The 20039-nt window shown below is 55.2% G+C and overlaps 10 annotated features.

Moving 5' to 3' along the window:
• Nucleotides 250-783: an enhancer, noted in NCBI's record as "H3K4me1 hESC enhancer chr4:3763251-3763784 (GRCh37/hg19 assembly coordinates)". NCBI's record gives its function as "activates a minimal SCP1, AML or CMV promoter by ChIP-STARR-seq in primed H9 embryonic stem cells {active_cell/tissue: H9 hESC(primed)}" and the evidence as "EXISTENCE:reporter gene assay evidence [ECO:0000049][PMID:30033119]".
• Nucleotides 784-1317: an enhancer, noted in NCBI's record as "H3K4me1 hESC enhancer chr4:3762717-3763250 (GRCh37/hg19 assembly coordinates)". NCBI's record gives its function as "activates a minimal SCP1, AML or CMV promoter by ChIP-STARR-seq in naive H9 embryonic stem cells {active_cell/tissue: H9 hESC(naive)}" and the evidence as "EXISTENCE:reporter gene assay evidence [ECO:0000049][PMID:30033119]".
• Nucleotides 1852-2385: an enhancer, noted in NCBI's record as "H3K27ac-H3K4me1 hESC enhancer chr4:3761649-3762182 (GRCh37/hg19 assembly coordinates)". NCBI's record gives its function as "activates a minimal SCP1, AML or CMV promoter by ChIP-STARR-seq in primed H9 embryonic stem cells {active_cell/tissue: H9 hESC(primed)}" and the evidence as "EXISTENCE:reporter gene assay evidence [ECO:0000049][PMID:30033119]".
• Nucleotides 6772-7971: an enhancer, noted in NCBI's record as "BRD4-independent group 4 enhancer chr4:3756063-3757262 (GRCh37/hg19 assembly coordinates)". NCBI's record gives its function as "activates an origin of replication core promoter dependent on BRD2, P300/CBP, MED14 and CDK7 cofactors, and independent of BRD4, by STARR-seq in HCT116 cells {active_cell/tissue: HCT116}" and the evidence as "EXISTENCE:reporter gene assay evidence [ECO:0000049][PMID:35650434]".
• Nucleotides 6772-8185: a biological region, named in NCBI's record as "BRD4-independent group 4 enhancer GRCh37_chr4:3756063-3757262".
• Nucleotides 7480-8185: an enhancer, noted in NCBI's record as "OCT4-NANOG-H3K27ac-H3K4me1 hESC enhancer chr4:3755849-3756554 (GRCh37/hg19 assembly coordinates)". NCBI's record gives its function as "activates a minimal SCP1, AML or CMV promoter by ChIP-STARR-seq in primed H9 embryonic stem cells {active_cell/tissue: H9 hESC(primed)}" and the evidence as "EXISTENCE:reporter gene assay evidence [ECO:0000049][PMID:30033119]".
• Nucleotides 12601-13101: an enhancer, noted in NCBI's record as "H3K4me1 hESC enhancer chr4:3750933-3751433 (GRCh37/hg19 assembly coordinates)". NCBI's record gives its function as "activates a minimal SCP1, AML or CMV promoter by ChIP-STARR-seq in naive H9 embryonic stem cells {active_cell/tissue: H9 hESC(naive)}" and the evidence as "EXISTENCE:reporter gene assay evidence [ECO:0000049][PMID:30033119]".
• Nucleotides 15011-15181: a silencer, noted in NCBI's record as "fragment chr4:3748853-3749023 (GRCh37/hg19 assembly coordinates)". NCBI's record gives its function as "represses an EF-1alpha promoter that drives an FKBP-Casp9 reporter gene in an ReSE screen in K562 erythroleukemia cells {active_cell/tissue: K562}" and the evidence as "EXISTENCE:reporter gene assay evidence [ECO:0000049][PMID:32094911]".
• Nucleotides 15201-16400: an enhancer, noted in NCBI's record as "P300/CBP strongly-dependent group 1 enhancer chr4:3747634-3748833 (GRCh37/hg19 assembly coordinates)". NCBI's record gives its function as "activates an origin of replication core promoter dependent on BRD2, BRD4, P300/CBP, MED14 and CDK7 cofactors, with strong dependence on P300/CBP, by STARR-seq in HCT116 cells {active_cell/tissue: HCT116}" and the evidence as "EXISTENCE:reporter gene assay evidence [ECO:0000049][PMID:35650434]".
• Nucleotides 15705-16230: an enhancer, noted in NCBI's record as "H3K27ac-H3K4me1 hESC enhancer chr4:3747804-3748329 (GRCh37/hg19 assembly coordinates)". NCBI's record gives its function as "activates a minimal SCP1, AML or CMV promoter by ChIP-STARR-seq in naive H9 embryonic stem cells {active_cell/tissue: H9 hESC(naive)}" and the evidence as "EXISTENCE:reporter gene assay evidence [ECO:0000049][PMID:30033119]".

The following is a 20039-nucleotide window of genomic DNA, read 5'->3' as shown; positions in this document are numbered from 1 at the left end:
ATCCATGCACATTGCACACACGTGTGTATGCCTGTGCTGCACACATCTGTCCCTATGCATGACACCAGTCATGCATGTGCACACATGGCTTCGCATATATGGATGTGTACACACATATGCGGCACCTGTGGCCTTGCCCACCCTCCTAGGCTGAGGAGAAGATGTATTTCTGGGTTGCTGCTGCAGCCAGCTCTTCCGGGGCTGCGGCTGGGTTCTGCCTCGCCTGCCTGGTCTGCACAGCTCCACCTGGCTCCTGCGGTCAGCCCTCCTCTCCACGCTGTGAGCTGTGAGGACATTTCTCATTAACTCTTGTGGACCCTGGGCCTGACCATGTGCTGTCCGCAGGCCTGGATGCCCTCTGCCTCATCTTTCCTGGGGCTCGCTTCCTTCAAGACTTGTCCCATGATGTTCCTCCTTCAGGAAGCCTCCCGTGACCTCCCGGGCTGGATCTGGGCCACTTTTGCCGGCCTCCTGCATGCCCCATGGGGCATGGCCATCATCAGTAACCATACATCTCAGCTGTGTCCCATCCCCACTGCCTGGTCCAGGGCTGGGCTCTCAGCTCACAGAAAGAGCTGAATGAAGGCCTGGTGGCAGGATGGGTGCCGTGAAGGGCAGATGGGCTTGTGGGCCTGGCTCTAGCCTCCTTAGCCGCACTGATGCTTGCTGGGTGCTGAGTGCAGGGGGTGCCTTCACCTGGTGGCTGCTTGTGCCAGGCCCCAGTGCCCCTGGCCAACAGGCCCTTTTCTCAGTTCCATGGAGTTTGGGGTCATCAGATGTGGCTTTAGGCTCCTGCTCATTCCCTTACTTATTGTCTGGCAGTGGGGGAGCCTTCTGGCTTCCAGGGCCTCAGTTTCCCCTGTCTGTAAAATGGGAGCATTGGACCAGAGCATTCCGAGGCCCATGCCAGCCCTGAGTGACCCCCTCCCCCAACTTGGCTGTGAGCTCCTGGGGGTGGGGGTGGCGCCTGCCTGCCCATCTCTGCCCTCGGTTGGTGTCCGCAGGGGAAAGGGAAGAGGCTGGACTCGGGGAGAGACCCCTCTCCACTCAGCCCTGGTGGGTGCGGGAACCAAGGGAAGCCAGCCCTATCTTCTTGTCTCAAGACCAAGAGGACATGTTTTCTCCCTGGAGCTGAGCTGAGCTTTCTTTCCCTATGTTTATTTGAAATTTCATTTTTAAAGACGAGTCAGGGAAAAATGAGGCTTGCTTCTCTCCCTGCCCCTCCCTGAAGAATTCCAGAAGCTGATTTGTCTTGTCAGGATGTGGCAGGGAGCCGTGGCCTGGGCTGGCTCTCTGAGCTGTTGCATATTGATCAGCATTGATGGGTTTGGCACAGTCGAGTTCTTACAGAGCTGGCGGAAGTCCCTCTGGAGAAAGAACTGCTTCGGGGACTGGCTTTGATTTGCAATGAGTGTAATAGATTAAAGCAGTGGGTCAGCATGTCTTATTGAGCACCAGCTGTGTACCTCAGCCCTGGCCCTGCTGGGATCCAAGCTCAGATCCCCGCCTCCCCCGACCCTCTCGGTTGCCACCGAGCCCCACCTCTGCCTGCCCGCTGCACCTGCTCCAGTCTCCACCTGGCTTCTCCTGCTAGGGGCTGTGCCCTGCCCGCTAGCTGCCTGAGCCTGACATTCAGGGCCCTCCAGTGCCCAACCTCAACCCACAGCCCTTCACTGGTTCAGTTGTCATGCAGTCCGCAGACACCAGGAAGCATCCTCTGCGTGCAGCCCTGGAGATGTAGAGGTGACGAAGGCAGGGCGGCCCAGAAGACCTCACCTCCTGCTCCACCATCCTGGGCCTGGGCCTAGCGGGGTAGGCTGGCAGCAGGCCTGCTGCCTGGACTCTGGGTTCGAGCTGGCTGGGTTTTCCTCTGTGACCTTTCCCAGCCTTGGTGGCCGCTGTGCACACTCCTCAGAATGACGTCTGCAGAGCTCTCAGCCTGGGGCCTGCCCGTTGCTGGGTGGTTGCAGGAAGGAGGCCACTTGACCCCGTTCCAGCCAATGATACCTCCCTGAGGACAAGGGTGAAAGGTGCCGGGAGGCCCACTGCCTGCCTTCCTGCTTGCTTGGGCACATGTGAGGATGTGATGCCCGGAGCAGCAGCAGCTGTCATGTGACCAGGAGGAGCTGAGGATGAGGATGAAAACCATGGAAGGAAAGAGGGTGTGTCCCCTGTGCCATTGTTCTTGAGCCTCCAAGAACCCACCCGGGACCTACCCTTTGTCCAGACTTCCTCCTGCCGAAGGACGTACTAAGTGGACTTACTGTTTTACCCTTTTAGGGAGGAAGGTTCTGTAACTTGCGGCTGAATGCGTCCAAGCCATGAGTTGTCCCCCAAGCTCGTGAGTTGTCCCCAGCTCAATTCTGCCTCCTTTGGAGAGTGACGTCCCACACACCTGTGCAACCTTGCATGCCAAAAGGACTTTGCAGACATGACTGAGGACCTTGCATGCGGGAGGTGATCCCCACGACACCTGTGGACCCAGTGTCATCAGGGTCCTTGTAAGTGAAAGAGGCAAGAGGACCCCAGAAGAGGAGGTGTGATGACAGAAGTGGAGGTCGGAGTGACATGGAGACGGGACCCCTGGCTGCAGGATGCAGTGCTTCTGGGAGCTGGAGAGGCCAAGAGACAGACTCTGGCCTGGAGCCTTCGGAAGGCACCGGCCCTGCAGACCACTTCAGACTTCCGACCTCCAGGGCCGGAAGAGGAAGCTTGGTGTGGTTCTAAGCGGTGGCATTTGTGATCATTTCTCACCGCAGCCACAGTAGATGGAGGCAACACCCGTGGGTGTTTGAGGGATGGATGAGTGGAAGCATGCGTGTGGTGGAGGCCACTGCACCGTCCAATTCCAGACAGTCCCGAGGAACGCCCGCTGGCAGCCCTGCCTCGGCTGTTGAGTCATTATGTGATCTTGGGCAAGTCTGAACCTCTGCTTCACCACCTGTGAATTCAGGGACAGGACTCAGTGGTCTTTCTCGGTCTTTCCAGGCCCTCAAGTCCTGGAGGGCACTGTGGGAGTGTGAGGTGGAGCCCGGGAGTCCCGCGGATGGAGATGAAAATGCCAGCCCTGCTAGATCCAGGCGGGATGGAGTGTGGGGTGTGGGCACAGTGGCTTGTACAGGCCTGGGCTGGGCAGACTTGCCCCGGAGTCTCAGGCCACTGCGGAAGGAGGACGCGTGGCCAGCAGGTGCCACCAGGAGAGGAGAGGAGGGCCAGGCTGAGCTGCATCTCTGGACTCCAAGGAGAGCTTGGAGAGGTGACTGAAACCCTGCCCCACCCCCAGCCTGTCTCCATCTGTGGGTCCTTGGGCAAATTGCCTCATCTCTCTGAGCCTCGAATGCGTAGCTTTCAGGACTAACTAGGGTACTGTGTACCAACTGCCTCTGCCAACGCCCCTGCACTGGGCAGCCCTGGGTACCTGGCTTGGGGGAGGAGTAGGCCTGGGAGGAGACTGATGCTACATTTCTCTTTATCTATCCCTGTATTGTTTAATTTGTTCCAAGTGCTTGAGTTACTTTGGCAAATAGAAACAATTCTAATAAAGAGAACTAAGACCTTAGGATCCCTGGCGCGTAGCAAGCTCTCGGCAAATCGCAGTTGACCCTCCTCTTCCTCTTCCCCCTCATCATCTTCATCATCATTATCATCATCACTGTTGGATCTGCTCCCAGCTGACATTTGAGTCTGCCTTGTGATGTGCCTCAGGCCGTTCCCAGCCTCTGCTTGCACACCCCAGGCGATGGGGAGCTCACTGCTTTCTGAGCAGCGTGCTTCCGTCTTAGGACAGCTCTGATTATTTTCAACACAGCAGACGGTTGTGGTGCTCCGCTGTGTGAGGTTCCATGCCACGCTTGGGGTCACAGATAAATCAGCCTTGGGCAGTGCCTGGCCACAGGAGCTGAGGGTGCCTGTGCTGGCTTGGGGCAGTAGGAAGGGCTTCTTGTGGAGGGGGCTTCTGCCCTGGCCTTCACAGCACAGGGAAGGCTTCCTGGGCCATTTCCCCACTGCTCTATGGGCCGCCCCTCCCCGCCTCAGCCGGGCTGCCAGAGTCCAGGACCTGTGGCCAGTGCATCCTCTACTGACCCATGGAGGCTCACCCCTAGACCTCCCTAACCTGGGTGGCTGTCCCCTGGAGACCTCCGAGTACTTCTCAGAGTGTTCAACAGAGTTTGAAAGCCTTTTGCTTTATTTCACCTTGATATCGCCCCTGAGGGTTGGGTGCCATGGTTTCCCCACTTTGCAGATGAGAAAGCGGAGGCCGTGGGAGCAGATGCGGCTCCCCAGGTCCCCAAGGAGTGGCTGGTAGATTGGGGCTCGGGCTCAGGCCTTGCCCCATCCAGTCTCTACCCACAGTGACCACCTCTGCGGTAGCCACCCACCCCAACAAAGACCACATAGGGGCCCCTGGATGGACACCGGGGCTTCTTTCCCTAAGGTGGTCACCTCCACGGGGACCCCAGTCAACCACACTTTCCTGCTGTGGGGGCTGCTGTTTACCACGTAGCCTGTTTGGGATGCGCACCCCAGTGCTAATCAACCCTTCGCCCCAGCACCCGGCATGGTGAATGCATGAAGGAACCCCTCTCTCCACGAGGCAGGCAGTTTTCCTTCAGTGAAGACACTGAGACCCAGCAAGCACCTGTGCCCAGCGCTCACCTGAGCCACTCTCCACCCTGCATTGCTGCCTCTCATTTGCTGAGCCCTGAATATGTGCACAGCTCCAAAGGGCCACAGAGTGGTGCAGCTCCTGTCCCCAGCTGTGGCCAAAGGTTACGGAAACCACAGACGCCACACACCACCTGCTCTCGTGCCCGCGTGGAAAGTGTGGGCGTGCCCGCGTGGAAAGTGTGGGCAGGCCCACAGGTGGCGGGTGCCCATGTGTGAGGCGTGACGTGCTCCCTAAGGCCACCCTTGCCATCCTCAGGTTTGATACCTTGTATTGCAGCTGCTTCCAGGTAGAATCCAGAGAATGTTCTGGGTAGGAATGGTTAATTCAACAAAAGTAATTTATGCCCACGATTTGTGAATCTGACCAGAGCAGACAAGTGCTTCAGAGCTGGAGGGAGTTCAGAGATTTGTTTTGTTTTGTTTGCTTTGAGGTTTTCTTTAATAGGAAAATGAAGAAGAGTCCTTAACATGTTTGGGAAAATAAACTAAGAATGCTCACATTTGCCATGACCCTGGGAGCTTCCTCCAGCTTCCTGCATCGATCCTGATTCCCAAGTATTTGTGGAAGGCAGGGATGCGGGCTGAGCCGTCCTCGCCACTGCCCACAGCCCTGGAATGTTTGTGTTGGAACCTGGACACCTTGGGCCCACACTCAGCAAGATCTGCTATGTTTTCTTCTCGAGTTTTCCCATCCCAGAAAGGCTCTGATTTAAACCAGAAATTTGTCATAGGAGGCAACGGGACTGGACTGAGATAACTGTGAGTAAGTCAAGGTACAGGTGATGTTGCTGTAACAAGAAAACCCCAAAGCACAGCAGCTTGAGCAAGATAAAAGATCCTTTCTGTCCCACATGGAAGCCTGGGCAGGACTTCCTGGCCCCTTCTGCCTTTTCCCTGCCATCCCCAGTGGGCAGCCCCAGTTTCAGGCCCCTTTTGCCTTTTCCCTGCCATCCCTAGTGGGCAGCTTGGGCCCCGGCACCACATCCATGGCATCACAACAGTGGGATGGGGGCCCATGGCCCTTCCATCACAGGGCGACTTCACCTGGAAGTTGTGTTCCTCCCTTACGCTGATGCCCCATTGGCCAGAACTTGGTCACATGCCCACCCCTAATGTCGGGGAAGCTGGGAAATGTAGTCTTTACATGGCAGCCATATTCCCAGATCAATATCCTATCACCGTAGAACAGAGTTTCTCCACCTGTGTCTTGTGACATTTTGGGCTGCACTCGTCTTTGTCGTGGGGGCTGCCCTGTGTGTTGTAGGAAGTTTGGCAGCATCCCGGGCCTCCATCCACTAGACACCAGGAGCACTTCTCAGTTGCAACAACCAAATATGTCTTCAGATATTGCCAGATATCCCCTGGGGGGCAAAATCACCCCCAGTTGCAAACCACTGGGCAGATCAAGGGCCTGCAACTTCAGGGCTGCAGCACCCAGGTCACAGGAGGGCTGGGAGGGTGGTCCGTGGCACATACCCTATCAGAAGGAGACAGCTACCTCTCAAGTCCACCCTGCAAGTTCTCATGCAGGAAGAGGGACAGAGATCTGGATTTTCATGGGAAATATACTAATGGTTTTCTGATAGCACACAATTAAAAAAAAGAAAGAAAGCCATGGTTATGGAATGAATTGTGTCCCCCCAAAAAGATATATCCACGTCCTAACCCCTAGCACATGTGAATGTGATCTTATTGGATTGGAGCCCATCCTAATCCACTATGACTGGTGTCCTTATTAGAAGAGGAGACACCCAGGGAGGGAGGCCATGTGCAGATGGAGGGGGAGACTGGAGAGATGGGGTCACAGCCAAAGAACTCCTGGAGCCCTCATGGGGAGCACAGTGCTGCCAACACCTTGACCTCAGAATTCCGGCTTCCATTGCTGTGAGAATAAATTTCTATTGCTTTAAGCCACTAATTGAATTTGCTGGAGACAGAAGGAGGCTCCGCAGACACGTGCTGATAGGCGAGTATGCAGGCCCAGCCGCCACTGATGGACATGCTCACTCTCCATTCATCCAACAAATGTTTATGAAGTGCTCACTCTGTGTTGGGCACTGTCTGAAACCTAGGGATACATCAGTGAACAAAATGGACTCCTAGAGCCTAAAAGGTTGTCAACTGAAGAATGACAAGGTTCGTAAGTTTGGAAAGGAGAGCCTTATTTCTCATAAAGGGTTGCAGCCTGCAGAGCAGCCATTCTGATGGCTGAGAAGCGTAGCCTCAGGCCAGAAGCTGCAAACAGACATTTTGAGGGAGGGGCAAAGGGAACAGGAAGGTTCCCTTTGCTGAGCAGGGGGTGCCTAATGTACATATTCAACAAGCTATGGAAGGAGTCATGAATATACATGAAAGGAGAAACACGTGCGTGCACTTGAGCTTCCTGCCTCTCCATAGGACCCACGTTCAAGACACGACAATGGCAGCATGACCTAAGGGTGGAGTTTTCCACCCTCTGATGTGGAAAGGTGAAGCGGAGGACACGGAAACCCTTGCTGTACATCCCCCGCCGACTGGCCAGAAGCTCTCTGTGGCCCGTGGTCTCCTATCAGGAAGGAACGCTGGCTGGTTGCTGTGTCAAACTCGCACCAGGGAGGGGCAGGTCAGGTGTTGGTTGAAACCAGGGCGGAATCTTTCGGAAGATCCGGTTTCTCTGCAGCCCTTAGAGGGGAAGCCCAGTGATGGTTAGCAAGGGAGGGAGGGGGTACAACGAGGTGGGTCCCACCTCCCTCACATCACGGTGGGAACTCAGCTTCCAAGGTTTCTCTGGGGTCCCTTTGGCCAAGGGGTGTTCTGCTCAGTCTGTTGGGGGTCTTAGGATTTCATTTTTATTTCTCACGACAAAGGACGTGAGAGCGCTCTCTGCAAAGTGTGACGTCCTTCAGGGATGTATTTGCCTTTTCTCTGGTTGGAAGGTGGTTGGAGTTGGGGTCAGGGCTAGGGTTGGGATGTTGATGGGGTTGGGTTAGGGTTGGAGTAGGGTTGGGTGCTGATGGGGTTAGGTAGGGTGAGGATTAGGGTCAGGGTTGGGGTGCTGATGGCATCAAGGCACAGTGGAATTGGAACGCCGACCATCACCTGTTCCTCTGCCAGCTACCAGCCTCCCGCATCCCTTTCCTTACTTCCCTCTGCCCAGCCCCTGACCTCCTGGCTCTTACCTTAGTCTGGTGCTCTATAACCTTCTGACGCGCTGAGGGACTCACCCCAGGACTCAGTTTATCTTGCTGACAAATGAGTGGGTTGGCTCTGATTTCTCTAAAGGCTCTCCCACTTCTAAAAATTCTAATTGGGTGGGATCTTCTTCAAGTGAGCAGGAACTATCAGCTATTGTTATGCAGGAACACAGGAGTACAAAGGTACTTTCGAAATAGAGCCAGAACAAAAGATGAAGTAGATTGCATCAGGCTCGGTATTATACTTAGAGAAACTATTTAAAAACCAAAGTACTTTTGAGTGCAGTGTTCATTGGAATTGCCCTGGGAAACTGTGTTTGACTCTAACAAAAGCTTTGTATCGACAGGATGTGTTATCGCTCAATTTCTAGGAAAGAGCGGTAATTAGATGCCTCACACCAGATATTGTTTCAATTGCAGGAAATAAAATACAAATCCTGCGAGGAGGCACATTCCTCCTTTTCATGACCGAGGAGGCACCCTTCCTGGTTCCAGGTCACAGGACCCCCGCCTGCCGCGGTCTTGGAGGTCCGCCCCTGCCTTCGTAGCTGGGAGGGAAGGGAGAAGGTGAAGTGCAGGTGTCTTTGGGAAACTTACAGCACCGGCGGCAAGGCCCGCCAGTGCCCAGGAGGGGAATTCCACCGCCCCCACGTCCCCTGCCCCCCACCAGCCAGCCCTAAGCGCCAGGCCTCGGGGGGCAGAGGGACCACAACTGCATGCCTCAGGTGCCATTCTGCCCCTGCCCCATGCACTCCCCCAGTGTGTCGGGGGGGCTGGCCATGGGGCATTCGGCCTCAGGGGAGCTGCCTGAGCCCAGGCCAGTTGGGCCTCGCCAGGAGGGACCTTCCAGGGATCTCCCTCGCTGTTTGGGCAGGAGTGCAGCCCAGCCAGGAGCCCCCAGGGGTGGCTGGGAGCCTGTGCCCCTCCTCATGCCTCCTGCCCCACAGGTGCCACTCCAGGAGACCAGGCTCTGCTCTGTCCCCGTGCCCCCCCAGTGCCCTCCCACAAGGGTGCCTCAGCACAGAATGCCTGTCCCACCCTGACCGTCTTGGCCTGCTCTTCTTTAGCCGCCAAGAACAGCCCAGCCATCTCCTCCAGGAAGCCCTCCTGCACCCCTGGAAGGGTTAGATCCCCCCTGGGCTCCTCAGGACGCCTGAGGGCTGCCAAGGCCCCAGCATGGGGATGAGGGGACGTGGACTCATTCTTTGGCTGCCTCTTGTGCCCTCCGGGGCTACTCAGGGGAGGGACCTGGGACCAGCCCGGGGTGGGATCCTCAGGAATGGCTGGCAGGTGGGTGCGGAGGTGGGGAGAGTGGGCATCCTCAGTCCTGCTTGCTCTCAGGCAGGTTCTGGGCTGAGAGTGGCCAGGTCAACCTCCTCTCTCCTCAGCCGGCAGATGCAGCCAAAGGTGCCAAGGGAGGGGGTGTAAAACCTGCAGGAGTCCCCCAGGTCAAACTGCAGGGTGTGCCGAGCCTCAGGGTTCCAGGGGACAGAGGTGGAGGGGCCCTGGGCTGGGGCATGAGGTGACCGGCCTGGTGGGAGGGGACAGGGACAGGGTAGCCTGGCTTACCTTGCTCCTGATCTCTCTACCTGGGCCTCTTTTTCCCAACTGTTCCCCTGGCTGAGATTCGAGGTGTGGGACAGAGGTGGGGTACGGTCTCCCCAGAGCCCTCCCTGCCAGGCCAGGCTCAGGCAGGGCTGCCACCCTCTTGGGAGGCCTCCAGCACTGCTGGGTTCCCCTAGGCCCTGGCGTGGTGCCGGCCCTCACCATTGCCGACTTCCCTATGGGGTCCCTTCTCCCTTGCTCTACACAACCTACCACCGTCTTCCAGGACCCTGCAGAACCCACCCCGAGTGGAGAGTGGTGCAGGCCCCTCGCAGGGTTCTTGGAGACACCAGGCGCCCGGCTGTGTTCCTGCCGCACACCCTTACTGTGGGAACTGAGCCGGCCTGCCATCCACCTCCGGTCCCCAGCAGACCTGCTCTGCAGGCTCAAGCGGGGCCAGCTCCCAGAAAGGAGGGAAGCCCCAGCTGCCCAACCCCAGCTCACATCCCGAGGCTGCTGTGGCGGCATTCAGTCGTTGCTTCAATTTCATTATCAGTCCTGCCAGGGAGCATTCTCTGGTGGAGGACTCTTCCCAAGTGACCAGGCTGCTTCCCTGGGTGGGAACCTCATGCTGTTTAAATATAAACAGTGGAGTGTGCATGAGGAAGGCCAGCACTCCGGGCCACCTATGGGGAGTCCAAGGTCGCAGGTGCTATCTCCCCACATCTGTGCCTGACTTAGTGGAGCATTTCCATTGACCGCCCCGCCTTGGTGACTGGCACGGCAGCTGGCTGCCTGCAGGCCAGCCCACGGCTGTGCTAAGCTCCCTGGCCAGGCATCTCACCTGCTCTTGGGGTTCCTGAGAAAGCTGCAAAGGGACAGGATCATTCATGAACAAATGTGTGTGGCACGACCCTCCTGCTCCCACCTCTGTGTCCAGAGTGGCTGCCCGAGGCCTTATGTCTGCAGGTGCAGGGCCGCCCTGGGCCATGGCCAGATGGACCACGGGCCACTCAGTGCAGCTTCTCCTCTGCTCTCCCCTGCACTGCCCGGGCGCCATCGCCTCTTGCTGGGTTCTGCCAACCAGGAGCACTCAAGTGGGACTCGGGAGGTTTGGAAGCTGAGGGCATGGTCCTGTGACTGCTTCTTCACCAGAGGGGGGCAGACACGTGGGCATGTCCCACCGGCTGTGACTGCCTGAGATCTACTCTTGCTGGTGACGAAGGTGGCGGCCAGGACCCACCTTTCCTACAGCCCCTGACCCTGATCATCATTGCTGGCCCCCCAGACAGTCCCTGAGCATCAGGTCCATGGGGCACGTTCTGGTGTCAGCTGGGAGGGGGACAGAAAGTCAGAGACTAGTGAGGAAGAGGAGCGAGGATGGGTAAAATAGAAAGGCAGGACAGGGCTAGATGGTGCATGGCCCTGACCCCTTTCAACAGTGCCTAGTGGGCAGGGCGGGGCAGGTGACACACACACACACACACACACACACACACACACGCACATGACATGGCTCTGCAGGGCTCAGGGCCGTGGCAGCAGGGGCCGGGGCTCTGGGCTCATGTTTGCTACGGGAGACACGCTTGGCATGTAGTGAAACCAACCAACAGGTGGAAGGGAGGCAGCGTGGCGTGCGGGGTGATGCAGGGCCCAGGCTCTCCGACTCCACCGGCCTCGGGCTGGGGTTTCACAGACCTTGCCCATCCACACACGCTGACGGCTGACGGCTGTTTGTTGAATCCCCACTCCTGGACCACAGGCCACTCTGTCTCTGATGTTTCCAAAGGGAGCTGAGCAAGGCCCGCCCCATGGGATGGGCACGCTTCCCATCGGGACCGGCATTCATGTGGGTTTTGGAAAATCTGGGCCCTTGTCTCATTAAGCCATTAGGAGTGGGTAGCCATGGAAACCATGGTACTTGGGTACTCAACACGAATGAATATTTATTCAATTAGCAGGGCCGGGGTGCTAGGCGGACCTGGCTCCAGCTGTGACTGGATGGTGGGGGCTCCCAGGAGCAAGAGCCACCTTTTAGAGGGCAAACCACGCCCAGGAACTTCACCTACATGATCTGATTAATCTTTGCTGTGACCCCTTGAGACAGTCACTGCTGTCCCGTGGTGTGGAAGAGAAGGCTCAGGAGAGCCAAGCAGGACATGAGGCCCAGAGGGTCTGCCCAGGAGACACAGCAAATGGCCCTTCCACCTCTGGGGTCCCTGGGCTGGCAGCTGACAGCTCTGTGTCTTGGTTCCCCCGCTCGATGGCCGTGGGTCCTCCAGCAGCTCACTTGAATTCCCTGTGCCCTCGTGGGCCGTCTGGGTTGGGCCCAACCTAACGCCTCCTCAGGTTGCTGGTGGAACTGGAGGGGCCTGTGTGTCCTGTGCCTGGCCCAGGGCCTGGCACACAGTAGGAGCTCAGCCAGTGCCAGCTCCAGCTGGAAAGAACAAGGAGAGCCCGGGGCTACCCAGGAGCACGGAAACGTCCCTGGAGGCTCTTCCCAGTGGCACACGGTGCTGGGGGAGTGGGGGCAGCCTCTCATTCTCCTGGTCTGATTCTGCACTGCCCGGCTGGTGCTTCTGGAAGCTTTGGGGACTCATTCACGTGCCCTGCATGTGGGGGCGTGTGTGGGTGTGCACCCACGTCTACATATGTTGCTCCAGAAAGGCAAGGCCAGGGGCCACCCTTTTTCATGAGACACGGATGGCTTTGCAGATCTTGGTTTTTCCCTTCTGTCCCTGCTGCTGCAGCTGGCAGCAGTGCACAGCCTGTGTCTGTTGTTTGCATCTCCCTGCCTCCTGCACACATGCAGGGCCACAGCCTTTGGGGATCAGACCCTCTGGGTCCTCTGCCTGGTCCTGGTGCATCTCCCACCCCCAAGCCGCTGGTACTGCTGGGCCCGCCACTTGGTTTGGTAAAGCAGCTGCACACGTTTGTTCAGGAACAATGCTGTCCCTGGCTGCTTTCCCACTGCAACGCAATAGCTGAAAGGCAGAAGCCACCCAGATGTCCGTCATCAGGTGATGGATAAACACAGTGTGGTCCATCCATACCACAGAATATTATTCAGCCTTGAAGAGGAAGGACATTCTGACACAGGCTACAACATGGATGACCCTTGAGGACACCATGCTCAGCGAAATCAGCCAGTCACAGAAGGACAAACATTATCCAATTCCACTTACATGGGATTCCTAGAGCAGTCAAATTCATAGAGACAGAGAATAGAAGGGTGGGTGCCAGGGAGGCCCGGGAGTTGTTTAATGGGGACATCTTCTGGTTTACTGAAAACATCCTGGAGAGGTTTGGTGGTGGTGGCTGTGGGACACAGTGTGGATGTACTGAACACTCCGGAACTGGTTTAGATGGTAAATGTTATGTTCTGTGTATTTGACCGCAATTAAATTGTTTTTAATTTTGAAAAAGGAAAGCCTTCTGCATCTCAGGTGGCAACTGGGTGCTGGCTCAAATGCACTCCCTCTGAGCGAGCTTCTGGGGGCTCGCTGATAGCACAGCCACCCCGCCCAGCTCGACCTGGAATGCAAGGGCCCTGGAGCGCTTGTTAGGGATCGCCTATAGCCGAGCTCCACCGGGCGGGCATCCAGGGGATATGAGGGGCCACAGCCTGCCCACTCCACTCGCCCACTGGAGAAAGTCTGCGAAGGGTCAGTGTGGGCAGCTCCCCCTACCCAGGGCGGGGCTCAGTTTGAGGCACCATGCTCCCTGGGCAGTGCTCTGAGCTCTGGGCCCAGCCACCCAGGGCACCAGGCACCAGGGCTGGGCTCCTGCCTCTGCCTGCCCTTTCTGCAGCTGCACTCTGGTCTGGCTTCCCCAGGGGAGCTACAAGGGAGGGTCCCAGACTCTCTGGAGCTTTGGGGACAGCCCCCAGGAATCTGCACAGCAACAGGCTCCCTGGGGGACTGCCATCCAGGTGGGCCGAGAGACCACCGTTTGAGAAGCTGCTTCAGAATTCCCAAAGCTTTGTCCTTTTCTGATTTCACTTCATCCTCACCACAGCCCGGCAAAACAGGTATCAAGACTCCCCTTTAAAAACTTGACAACTTTATTGAGGCATCATTTATAGAGCACACATTTCACTTCGCTGCCGTGACGATCTGATGGAGTCTGGTAAATGCTTTATAAACTGTGAAGTGGTGTGCACACACGGGGGTTCGTTATTACAGCAGATTATAATTGTTATTACTGTACAAGCTTTATTATTATGATGGTGGGGTGTTCTTGCATCATTTATCTCAAGGGTTCCTGGAGGGGTAACTAGGTAGGGGGCATGAGTTGGCCGCTTTGCAAGATTTTTGCAAACAGCAGCGATTTGCTTGCATGCGATGTCTGTGTGCCTCACTTAGACACTTTGGTGGAGAGCAGGGTTTTCGTTGTGTTGTTTTTTTCAACATTTTGTTTGGACATAATTTCAAACAACAGAAAAACTACAAAAATAAAAATAGTACAAGAACAGCATAGACCTTTCACCTGGGCTTAATGACTGCGCCCAGCCTGCCCCATTTATTTTCTCATTGGCTTGCTTGCTGGTGCGCTGCGGGTGACTTTTCTGAACCATTCGGTATTAAGTTGCAAGCATGTATCACACCTCCTTGCCTTTAAAGAGACCCTAGAGACAGACAGCTCTTCCCACATCATCCCTAACTGTGTTAGGATGCGAGCTTGCCATCACAGCCGCATCCTAACACAGTCCTCTCTCCCAGCTGTGTTCCCGTGTTCCCAGCTGACCCCAGAATGTCCTTCACGGCTCTTGTCCTCCAGCACAGGGCCACTCTGGGGTCAGGTGTTGCATTGATGCGTCTTGTCTCTGTGGTTCTCTTTCATCTGGAACATTTCCATGGTTTTGGTCATGTACACTGCTGACATTTGGGAAGAACACGGGGCTTTTTTTTAATAGATGGGTCCTCATTTGGGGTCGTCTGGCAGTTCCTGGGACTGGACGGAGCCTGCACATTTTTGGCTTCAGCGCCACAAGAAAGAGTGTGTGTCTTTCTTGGGCACAGGATGTCCATTCGCCTCTCACTGCTGGTGTTGTTTCTGATGCTGGTGATGTTTCTGATGGAGGAGCTGCGGAGTGATCTGCTGGACAACCGCTCAGTGTTTCCTTCCAGCTCAGGGGCACTCTCGGGGGTCGGGGCGGGGGACGCTTTACCAGCATGGACACGGTCTGCTCCTCACCAGAGCTCCCCCTGGAGGAATGTCCCGTGAACGACGCCGGCCAGAACGTCAGCTTTGGAACCCGGCACTTCCCCGACATTCACCAGTCAGCAGCTGGCCTTCCGCTGAAACAACAGCCCTTCCATCTCACCTATCATCCATCAGTCACCTACCTATCTATCTATCCATCTATTTCTCAATCTGTCGTCTATCAATCAGCTATCTGTGTAATCCATCTACCTACCTATCTACCTACCTGTCACATATCTATCATCTGTCTATCTACCTATCATGTACCTACCTGTCTATCTTCTACACATCATCGACCTATCAATCATCTCTATCTCTCTGGCCATCAATCATCCGTCAGCTACTATAGTATGTTCTTTTGGATCCCCATTTTTTTTTCAAGGATTTGTGATTCATTGCTGTACTTCCATATTTTGGTGCTCAAATGGTTCCAAATTTGGTCAGAAGGCGCCCCTCCGTGCTGGCTCTGGAGTCTGTGACATGCCACCTTTGTTTGCCTGTGTGTGTGCCTCGTTACTTTCTGGCATAACATGATGTTCCAGGCTATTTTTGTACTTTTCTTGCACCAGCCCTAAAATCAGCCACTTCTCTGAGGAGCCCTGGTAATATAATGGGTAATATATTAGCAACCAAGGTCTGGGTATATAATGGGTAATATATTAGCAACCAAGGTCTGGGTATATAATGGGTAATATATTAGCAACCAAGGTCTGGGAGCCAGTGGCAAGGTCTGGGTGCCAGTGTCAAAGATAGAAGGGTTTTAAGCCTTTCAGCCGACAGACCTAAGAGATGCACACAGGCACATCACCCAGAGACACACACACACACACACACACACACACGGACATAAAGACAGGCACACGAGGACACGCGTCTGCACGTGCTCACGCACGCATGCGTGTTTCTGAGAGCATGACTCACGCATGCGTGTTTCTGAGAGCATGACTCACGCATGCGTGTTTCTGAGAGCATGACTCACGCATGCGTGTTTCTGAGAGCATGACTCACGCATGCGTGTTTCTGAGAGCATGACTCACGCATGCGTGTTTCTGAGAGCATGACTCACGCATGCGTGTTTCTGAGAGCATGACGCACGCATGCGTGTTTCTGAGAGCATGACGCACGCATGCGTGTTTCTGAGAGCATGACGCACGCATGCGTGTTTCTGAGAGCATGACGCACGCATGCGTGTTTCTGAGAGCATGACTCACGCTGACGTGCAGTCCCTGCCTGAGGGGTTCTTCCTGGCCCTCCACGTTCCTGATGGTCTGTCTCTTCTTCCAGTGACGTGGATGTGTGACCTGGTGTGCACGGCTGTGCCAGCGCCTGTGATGCCTTTAGTGTGGCCATGTTCATTCCACTACAAGAGTAAAACTCATGCACCAGAGAAGCTGCCCTGGGCCCGTTCGCACTCCCCGCTTACCTTCTGACCTTGCCTGAGGCTGCCGGACAGACACCGTGTTCATGGCTTCTTGGATTAGTTCTTCATTTCTTTTTGGTTTCCACTGTGGCTGTGTTCTTCATTTGAGATGTAATTTGCCCATTTTTCCCGTTTTCTGTCCATTTTATTTTTCCCTTTCTCATACCTCCTGATTTAATATGTAGAACACGAATATGCTTCTGCAAGTCAGAAGTGCAGAAAAGGTGTGCTGGGCTGCCTCCCTGGAGAATCCCTCCCCGCCCCTCCCCCACTCCCTGCAGGAAGCTAATCTAATTGTTGTCTTGTTTATTCTTCCTGTGCTGCTGCTTGTAAAGACAGGCAGTCGTATCTACACTCCGTGCAACAGGCAGCGTACTACTGTGTTGTTTGGCGTGGTGCTTTCTTTCACTTATCAATATCTTCTAGAAGTCTTATAGAAAAAATCAGCAAACTGCGTGAACACACAGTTCCCAAGCAGGGATGTAAAAACGGCCCTTAGCTGCCTGAAAAGGTGTTCAACTTCCTCACAGAAGAGAAATGCAAATTGAAGCCACACCAAGGAAACACTTCTCTGCCATCACATTGGCAAAAATCAAACGTCTGAGGACACACCCTGCCGGCGACGCTGTGGGGAAGGTCGTGGGATTAGAGCAGAGCAGCTCTTACACTTTGCATTTGTGCTTCTTAACTTTGAAAAGTTCTTTGTGTAGTAGAGACATGAGACATGAGCCTTTTCTCTAGGAAGCGAGTTCCAAATATTTTCTCCTGGTTCATTTGTCGTTTCGTTTTGCTTAGTTTTTTCCTTGCATAAGCTGCTTTCATTGGCAATTGTATGAATATTTTCTTTGATTACACCTGGATTTGTAGTCACAGAAAGCCCTTCTTCATTGCTCTTATAGAGGAATTCACAAATGTTTGCTTCTAGCATTTGTATATTTCAGTTTTTTGCATTTAGGACTCCCATCTACTTGGAGTTTATTCTTGGGCATGGTGTGAGAAATGGATCTAATTTTATCTTTTTTGCAAATGGTTTTCCACTTGTCCCAGTACCATTTTATGTGAAATACCAAGACCGTTCTAGTGACTGGAGCGCCCCCTCCTCACACACGGCGTCAGCGGGGGGCCTGTCTCTGTCCCTCCTCTCCCACGGCCCTGTGTATTTTTGTGTCATTTGGCACTGTTCTCATTAAAGAGGCCCCACTGCGTGCTTTAGCGTCTGATAGGGCTGGCCCCGTTCACCCCGCCCTTCCCTGGCAAGGCTTGTTTATTTTTCCATGTGAACGTTAGTATCAGTTCTAGCTCTCTTTGAAAGAGAAACGCATGGGGTTGTTATTAGAATCGCATTAAATTTATACCCTAAATTAGGGAGAGCTGACATCTCGGTGATGCTGGAACATCCTAACTGTTCTATTTCGGGTTTTTTTTGTGTCTTCAGGAGTGTTTTATGATTGCCTTCGTATAGGTTATGAACACTTATTGTTAAGTTTCTGTTGACGGGTTAGAGAGCACGGGTTTGGCTGTGTGCTGGTTATTCTCTGTGTGCCCCCCAGACACCCCCACCCAGCCTTACCCGTATCCCGTATGGCTGTGTCAAGGGGCGCCCCTGCCCACCAGCTGCTCATCGTGTATGGCTAAGAGGAAGCTCACAGAAAATAATGGGGTGGGGCGAGAGAGATCGGGGTTTTATCCCCAGACCCCTTCTCCCGGTCCTGGGCAGGAGCGCCTGCGTCTCCCTGCCATGGACTGCTGGGCGGCCCGGGCCCTCCTCTGGGGTCTGCCTGCGTCCCTCCTGTCCTCAGGCGTGGGTCAGCCCTGGCTCCCCGGCTACCTACCCCAGGTTCTGCTCTGTCCTTTCCTAGTTCCCCTGACTCTACCCATACCGTAGAGACCGCCCCTTCTTTAAACCCTCTGGGCTCACTCTGCTGGTGTGCGCCCTCTGCTCCCGCCTGGACTCGACTCGCTCTGCTGGTGGGCGCCCTCTGCTCCCACCTGAACTCGACTCGCTCTGCTGGTGTGCGCCCTCTGCTCCCGCCTGGACTCAACTCGCTCTGCTGGTGTGTGCCCTCTGCTCCTGCCTGGACTCTGCCCCAGGCACCTGCCCGGCACCCTCACCTTTTTGGAGAGAGCCCCTTGGGAGCCCACCCTCTTCCCACTCACTGTCCCTTGCCTTGCAAGGAACAGATCCCTCCCCAGCTCTTAAGGCAGCCGCATCAGGAGCGGCACTCACAGCAGACCATCCCCTAGGCCAGAGGGGTCTAGGGTTGGTGCACGGCCCCAGGCAACTCGGGGAGCTTCCATGCGGGGCTTTATCCAGAACTCCCGAAAAGAAGGCATTTCTCCTCACCCTAGAGGGCAGGAGCCGGGCTGTTCTTACCACCGGAAAGCACAAGCCTCCCTCAGACTAAAGCAGAACTGCAAGAAGAGGAGACTCCATCCCAAGAACGGGGTTCGGCTCCTGGATTCCACCACGCCCAGAGCCCGGGATTAACCTCCAGGCTTTTCCATCACATAAGCCAATAAAGTCACTTTTTTGTTTCAGCCAGTTTGGTTTTGTTTCTGTCACTTGCAACCTGGGTCCCCCGACCTGCACAGGCTTCCAGAGGAGTTTTGTACCGTGTGAGCCAGGGTGATGATGGGGAGCCCAAACACGAGGAGGGGCAAGCTGAAACCCATCAGAGAGAGTCCCTGCACCGCAGCTCAGGCCACAGCAGGACCTGTTTCCAGCCCCAAACAAGAGGTGACCTAAGCATCACACCATTCTTGGTTCAAGAGCCCCTCCAACATTGCAGGGGCAGGCCCACCACCTGAAGCCCACCCGCACCCCACCCCTGGGGGCTCAAGTCAAGATTCTGCAGGCCCAGGGCAAGCTGACCAGAGGAGCAGCCCCCAGAACCTGCCAGAATGAGGCTGTGCCTTTGGGGCAGGCTATGCAATGCATATGGTCACCCTCCCATCACTTATCTGCACATGGTCCTGGGAGGCACATCATATCAGCACCTCGATTTTGCAGTTGACAAAACCAAGCCTCAGAGAGGCTGATTGATTTGCCCACGGTCACCCAGAGAAGGCTCCCAGTCTGCCTTGCAGGATGGGCTGGCCAGCAGAAGGGGCGCGAGGCTTTTGCTTGTGGCCAGGGCAGTGCTGCAGGGTGTAGCTTGAACGTGGTCTGGCACAGCCATGAGATGTCACCTTGGTGGGGAGTTGGATGGGGGAAGGTGGCAGTGGAGTGGAGCCAGGCTTGGATGGCCTCAAACACCAGGCAGCTGAAGACTAATCCTAACACTGCCACAACTTGTAAGACTCTGCAACTTGTAAGGTTCTGCCTCCTTGGCTGCTGAGCTGGGTGGGTCTAGGGCTTGAGGAACACAGTGGATCACAAAAATGGCCTCAGCCCTTCACTCTTGAATGAGCTAAACAAATGGTTATTGTAAATTGCTAAATTGGGGCTGTTTGTTACGCAGCAGTAGCTAACTGACACAGGGTGACTGAAGGGGGAAAATAAATGAATGTGGTGACTACAGGGCCTGCATGGCTGGTCTTCTGCTGAACATGATGGTGCAGGGTCCTCACCACTGGGGACTGGCAGCATCCTGTGCCACAGCCTGGTGTGGAGCACATCCACACAGTGCTCCGTGACCCAGCGTCTCCTGCCTGAGGTCCCACCACAGAGAATGAGTCCCTCCAAGCCTGCCTCTGATGCCTGATAGAAGGTAGTCCCACTAGGGGCTCATTTTCTGCTATTGACATCTTGGTGGGATGAGGGGCCCCAGAGCAGGTTTAGATGCACTGGAGGAGCTGAGAGCTCTGGGGGTGTGAAGGGGGAGGAAGGGGATAAAGCTCACCAAGGGCAAATGTGGCAGCCAAATTGGGTCCCCCAGATTTATCCATACCCTGGTACCTGTGAACGTCACATTGCATATAATGTAATTTTGCAAGAAGGATTTTGTAGATGTAATTACAGTTACTAATCAGAGATGTTAAGACAGGGAGATTGTCCTGGATTATCTGGGAGGGCCTGGTCTAAGCAC

This window comes from Homo sapiens, chromosome 4 (genome assembly GCF_000001405.40).
Source record: "Homo sapiens chromosome 4, GRCh38.p14 Primary Assembly".
NCBI classification, from domain to species: Eukaryota; Metazoa; Chordata; class Mammalia; order Primates; family Hominidae; genus Homo; species Homo sapiens.
This window is presented reverse-complemented; position numbering and strand designations above follow the sequence as displayed.